Source organism: Homo sapiens, chromosome 3 (assembly GCF_000001405.40).
Source record: "Homo sapiens chromosome 3, GRCh38.p14 Primary Assembly".
Lineage (NCBI taxonomy): Eukaryota > Metazoa > Chordata > Mammalia > Primates > Hominidae > Homo > Homo sapiens.
Window position 1 is genome coordinate 28,198,753 of NC_000003.12, and position 7,113 is coordinate 28,205,865.

The 7,113-nt window shown below is 45.8% G+C and overlaps 1 annotated feature.

The window, feature by feature from the left end:
* Positions 282–1,481: an enhancer, noted in NCBI's record as "BRD4-independent group 4 enhancer chr3:28240525-28241724 (GRCh37/hg19 assembly coordinates)". NCBI's record gives its function as "activates an origin of replication core promoter dependent on BRD2, P300/CBP, MED14 and CDK7 cofactors, and independent of BRD4, by STARR-seq in HCT116 cells {active_cell/tissue: HCT116}" and the evidence as "EXISTENCE:reporter gene assay evidence [ECO:0000049][PMID:35650434]".

Here is a 7,113-nt window from a genome sequence, read left to right on the forward strand (position 1 = left end):
AACAAATTTCAATCCAGACTATAACACAATGGATTATTTATCTTGACTAAAATGGCCCCATATCTGTGCTTGAGTGTCAGTCTTTGTCACATCAGTGTGATAGCACTAAGTGTTTAGCTCGAATAAAGTGGTTCCCCGTCCTTTGATAATACAACATGGGTCCAGAGTTCTCTTCGCTACAATTTTCAGCTCCATCAAGAGTAGCCTAAGACATCTCAGAATTCCCAGAGATTTTCAAAGTGTGTTTCATTTATTCTATTATGCACTCATTCTGCCTTGTCCGTTTGAACTGGATTCACCAGGGAATACAATTTAGTTAGCCATTTTTTTTTCTTTTTGCACTCTCTAGCCTGCCATTTTATTTTTACTTTAAATTGCGCTGCTTCCTCATTCTTCACCCACTCCACCTCACTCAACCTACACTTAAAATCTCATAGAGTTGGACAACTATAATGTAGTTCCTTCTCTTTTCTTAACACCTGAAATTTCAGTTTGCATAGTTAGGTAATACCAATATTTATGTAGTGCTTCATACGTGCCAGACACTGTTTTAAATGAATCAATTTTTTCTTCACATCAACAGGTACTATTATTATCTCCATTTTACAAAATTGAATTACTACTGATTTTAATTGGGATTTTGAATTTCATAGCACCTCAGGGCTAGAACTAACCTTGAAAGTTTTGTGTCTGGAATTGGTGGGTTCTTGGTCTCACTGACTTCAAGAATGAAGCCACGGGCCCTCGCGGTGAGTGTTACAGTTCTTAAAGGTGGCGTGTCCGAGTTTGTTCCTTCTGATGTTCAGATGTGTTCCCCTTCTGGTAGGTTTGTGGTCTCGCTGGCTCAGGAGTGAAGCTGTAGACCTTCGCGGTGAGTGTTACAGCTCTTAGGGCGGCGCATACTGGAGTTGTTCGTTCCTCCCGCTGGGCTCGTTCTTCTCGCTGGCTTCAGGAGTGAAGCTGCAGACCTTAGGGGTGAGTGTTACAGCTCATAAAGGCAGTGTGGACCCAAAGAGTGAGCAGTAGCAAGACTTATTGCAAAGAGCAAAAGAACAAATCGTCCACAGCGTGGAAGGGGACCGGAGAGGGTTGCCACTGCTGGCTGGGGCGGCCTGCTTTTATTCTCTTATCTGGCCCCACCCACGTCCTGCTGATTGGTAGAGCGGAGTGGTCTGTTTTGACAGAGCGCTGATTGGTGCCTTTACAATCCCGGAGCTAGACACAAAGGTTCTCCACGTCCCCACCAGATTAGCTAGATACAGAGTGTACACACAAAGGTTCTCCACATCCCCACTAGATTGGCTAGATACAGTGTGGATTGGTGCATTCACAAACCCTGAGCTAGACACAGGGTGCTGATTGGTGTGTTTACAAATCTTGAGCTAGATACAGAGTGCCGATTGGTGTATTTACAATCCCCGAGCTAGATATAAAGGTTCTCCAAGGCCCCACCAGAGTAGCTAGATACAGAGTGTCCATTGGTGCATTCACAAACCCTAAGCTAGACACAGGGTGCTGATTGGTGTATTTACAATCCCTGAGCCAGACATAAAGGTTCTCCACGTCCCCACCAGACTCAGGAGCCCAGCTGGCTTCACTCAGTGGATCCCCCACCGGGGCGTGCAGGTGGAGCTGCCTGCCAGTCCTGCGCCGTGCGCCCGCATTCCTCAGCCCTTGGGTGGTCGATGGGACTGGGCGCCGTGGAGCAGGGGGCGGCGCTCATCGGGGACGCTCCGCCGCACAGGAGCCCACGGAGGGGGTAGGAGGCTCAGGCATGGCGGGCTGCAGGTCCCGAGCCCTGCCCGGCGGGAAGGCAGCTAAGGCCCGGCGAGAAGTCGAGCGCAGCGCCGGTGGGCTGGTACTGCTGGGGGACCCAGTACACCGTCCGCAGCCGCTGGCCCGGGTGCTAAGCCCCTTATTGTCCGGGGCCGGCAGGGCCGGCTGGCGGCTCCGAGTGCGGGACCCGCCAAGCCCACGCCCACCCGGAACTCCAGCTGGCCCGCAAGCGCCAGCGCGCAGCCCCAGTTCCCGCTCACGCCTCTCCCTCCACACCTCCCTGCAAGCTGAGGGAGCCGGCTCCGGCCTTGGCCAGCCCAGAAACGGGCTCCCACAGTGCAGCGGTGGGCTGAAGGGCTTCTCAAGTGCCGCCAAAGTGGGAGCCCAGGCAGAGGAGGCGCCAAGAGCAAGCGAGGGCTGTGAGGACTGCCAGCACGCTGTCAACTCTCAGTTTGTTTAGGTAAGCTTTTCTTTTCTTTTTTTTTTTTTCTTTTTGGAGACCAAGTCTTGCTCTGTCACCAGGCTGGAGTGCAGCGGTGCAATCTCGGCTCACTGCAACCTCCACCTCCCGGGTTCAAGCGATTCCCCTGCCTCAGCCTCCCGAGTAGCTGGGACTACAAGCACACACCACCACGCCCAGCTAATTTTTTTTGTATTTCAGTAGAGACCGGGTTTCACCATGTTGGCCAGGATGGTCTTGATCTCCTGACCTTGTGATCTGCCCACCTCAGCCTAGGTAAGCTTTTCTTGATAGAGATGTGTCCAAGCACCTCTAGGATAATTATAGACCTAAATCTTATTAATAGCCTGCAGATTTCTGTAAGACTTAGCCTGGCCTTTCTGTCCTGCCAATCTGCCATAAATGCTCCTTTGCTCTAACGCTTCAGTCACAGTGGCCTCATTCTGTTTCTCCAGTGAGAGAAGCTCCCTCAATTTCAGGATTTTGATCAATGCTTTCCCCTCTGCCTGCCACTCTGTAGTAGACATAATAATAGCCTGCAAAGAAGTCCATGTCCTAATCTTCAAAATCTGTGACTATGTTACTTCATGTGACAAAGGGACTTTAAAATATGATTAAGCATCCTGAAATGGGAAGTTTATCTTGGATTATTCAGGTGGGGCCAATGTAACCACCAGAGTCCTTATGAGAGGGAGGCAGGAGAATTAGAGTCAGTAAAGAAGATATGATCACAGAAGTAGTGGTCAGAGTGTTGCCATCACTAGAAGAGAGACTTTAGCCCTGGGATGTGAGCAGTCTCTAGAAGCTGAAAAAACAAGGAAACAGATTCTCTCCTAGAGCCCCCAGAAAGAATGCAGCCCTGCTGATCCATTTTAGAATCTAAACTCCATAACTGTAAGATAATAAATTTGTATTCATTTATGCCACTACGTTTGTGATAATTTGTTACAGCAGCAATAGAAACAAAAACACTCTATTTCACCCATCTCCCCTCTTCATTTTCCCTCTTACTAGTCTTTTAGACTAATAAGACTAAATATCTCTTCCTCAAGGACACTACCTTTATCACATAAACTCACCAAGAAATGCCCCTGTTACATTTTCAAAGCATTCCATACTTTCCCTTCATGATACTCAACAATACTGTTTGATTATTTAATTAATATCTTTGTAACCTACCAGACCACAATTTCCATGAGGGTAGAGTCTATTATGTTTTTTTCTCATCATTATATTCCAGGCATCTCACACAGTAATATCACAAGCAGTCAATAAAGTGTTGTTTAATGAATAATTAAATAAGCAAAGTAATTAATATAGGATCTGAAAATGATTTGATAGCTCTAAGGCATGTAAAGATTATTGTTATAACTAACTGGTTAGCCCTCCAAACGAGAATCAATGCTATATACCAAGGGTACCCTAGGAGGGCAGGGCCAAGATGGCTGACTAGAAGCAGCCTCTGACCATCAGAGGCTCCCATTGAAAAGAACCATAATACTGTGTGAATCCCGCACTGTCAACCAAGGTATCCAGGTTCTCCCAACAGGAATGATTAGGCAGCTGCTGTGATCCACAGAGAGGAAAAAAGAGCAGTGTGGTGTGGCAGCCCACCTGAGAGCCACACAGGTCAGGGGAGCCCTTACCCCCCAGCTAAGGGAGGTGGTGAGTGAGCATGCTACCCAGCCAGGGAAACTGTGCTTTTTATATAGAACTGTGTAACCCCTGGATCAGAAGATCCCACTTGCAAACCCATGCCATTGGGGCCTAGGGTCCCAACTCTGGAGCCATGCAGATTCTCAACAGCCTCTAAACTAGAATATGCTTAAGCCTGCTGAGTTCACAGCGGGGAGGGGGCAACCAGTACCACATCTGTGGCTTCCTGCTCTCTAAGCCATTTCAGCTTCTTGGGGAAGGGACAGCAGCCAGCACTGGGACTCATAACTACCTAACATGATAAGCTCCCTGCACTGGGGAAAGGCAGCATGCATCTCTATAGCTCCAGGCCACACTTTTCCTCTGTTGGAGCCAGTGAGGCTGGACAACTTGGTCCCAAGAGGTGTCCCCCACAGCCCAACATACCAGCTGTGGCAGACTGTGGCCAGAATGCCTCTTTAGGACTGACCCTGACCCATCCTTCCACACTGGAATGGACCTCCCTGCAAGAAATCTAACAACTCCAGCCAGAGGCTCAGGGACAGAACCCTTATCTCCCTGGGCCTGAGCCCCTAGTGGGAGGGGCAGCTGCAGTCTCTGTGGACCAGCAGACTTAGCCTTTCCTCCTCGTAGTTCTGAGGAATCCAGGCAGCCCAGACAAGTGGGTTCCCTCCAGAGAAACACACTCCCTCCACCAAGGGACAGTCAAAGTGCTTCGTTAAATAGGTCCTGTTCCCTATGCCACCTGACCGGGTGAGACCCTCCAACAGGAGTTGTCAGACACCCTATACAGGAACAATCCTACTGGCATCAGATTGGTGCCTCTCAAGGTCAGAGATTCCAGAAGAAGGGGAAGGCACCCATCTTTGCTCTTCTCCAGCCTCGAGTGACATCTCCAGGTGTGGGAGCAAATCAGACGAATAGGGCCTGAAGTGAACCCCCTGCAAATTTTGGCAGCCCTACAGAAGAGGGACCTGACCATTGAAAGGAAAACAAACAAACAGAAAGCAATAACAACAGCATCATCAACAACAAAAACGTCCCCACAAAAAACCCATCCAAGAGTCATCAGTCCTAAAGATCGAAACTGACAAACTCATGAAGATGAGAATCAATGAAAAACTGCTGAAAACCCAAAAGACTCTTCACCTCCAAAAGATCTCAGTACCTGGCCAGCAAGGGCACAGAACTGGATGGAGGATGAGATGGATGAATTGACAGAAGCAGGCTTCAGAAGATGGGTAATTAAAAACTCCACTGAACTAAAAGAGCATGTTCTATCCCAATGAAAACAAGCTAAGAACTTTGATAAAATGTAAGAGGAGCTGCTAACTGGAATAACCACTTTAGAGAGGAACATAAATGACTTCTTGGAGCTGAAAAACACAGCACAAGAATTTTGTGAAGCATACACAAGTATCAATAGCTGAACTGAACAAGCAGAAGAAAGGATAGCAGAGTTTGAAGACCACCTTGCCAAAATAAGGCATGCAGACAAGATTAGAAAAAAAAAAATGAAAAAGAATGAACAAAGCCTGCAAGAAATACGGGACTATGTAAAAAGACCAAACCTACAATTGATTGGAGTACCTGAAGGAGACAAGGAGAATGGTTACAAGCTGGAAAACACACTTCAGTATATTATCCAGGAGAACTTCCCCAACCTAGCAAGACAGGCCAACATGCAAATTCAGAAAATACAGAGAACACCACTAAGAGACTCCATGAGAAGATCAACCCCAAGACACATAATCATCAGATTCTCCAAGGTCGAAATGAAGGAAAAAATGTTAAGGGCAGCCAGAGAGAAAGGCCAGGTCACCTACAAAGCAAAGCCCATCAGACTAACAGTGGGTCTCTCAGCAGAAACCCTACATACCAGAAGAGATTGGGAGCCAATATTCAACATTCCTAAGGAAAAGAATTTTCAATCCAGAATTTCATATTCAGCCAAACTAAGCTTCATAAGCAAAGGAGAAATAAAATCCTTTCCAGACAAGCAAATGCTAAGGAATTTTGTCACCACCAGGCCTGCCTTCCAAAAGCTCCTGAAGAAAGCACTAAATATAAAAAATGAAAAACCAGTAGCAGCCACTGCAAAAACACACCAAAATATAAAGACCAATGACACTATGAAGAAACTGCATCAACTAATGGGCAAAATAACCAGATAGCACCATGATGACAGGATCAAATTCACGCATAACAATAGTTACCTTAAATGTACATGGGCTAAATGCCACAATTAAAAGACACAGACTGGCAAATTGAATAAAGAGTCAAGACCCATTGGTGTGCTGTATTCAGGAGACCCATCTCATGTGCAAAGACACACATAGGCTCAAAATAAAGAGATAGAGGACAATTTACCAAGCAAATGGAAATACAAAAAAAGGAGGGGTTGCAATCCTAGTCTCTGACAAAACATTTTAAGCCAACAAAGATCAAAAAAGACTAAGAAGGGCATTACATAATGGTAAAAGGATCCATTCAACAAGAAGAGCTAACTAGTCTAAATATATATGCACCCAATACAGGAGCACCCAGATTCATAAACCAAGTTCTTAGGGACATACAAAGAGACTTAGGCTCCCACACAATAATAGTGGGAGACTTTAACACCCCACTGTCAATATTATACAGATCAATGAGATAGAAAATTAACAAGGATATTCAGGACTTGAACTCAGCTCTGGATTAAGTGGACCTAACAGACATCTACAGAACTCTTCACCCCAAAGCAACAGAATATACATTTTTCTCAGTGCCACGTGGCATTTATTCTAAAATCAACCACATAACTGGAAGTAAAACACTCCTCAGCAAATGCAGAAGAATGGAAATCATAAACAATCTCTCAGACCACAGTGCAATCAAATTAGAACTCAGGATTAAGAAACTCACTAAAAAACAGACAATTACATGGAAATTGAACAACCTGCTCCTGAATGACTCCTACTCCTGGGTAAATAATGAAATTAAGGCAGAAATCAAGAAGTTCTATGAAATTGATGAGAACAAAGAGACAATGTACCAGAATCTCTGGGACACAGCTAAAGCAGTGTTAAGAGGGAAACTGATGGCACTGAATACCCATATCAGAAAGTTAAGAAAGATCTCAACTGGACACCCTAACATCACAATTAAAAGAGCTAGAGAAACAAGAGCAAACTAATCCAAACGCTAATAGAAGACAAGACATAACTAAGATCAGAGTAGCA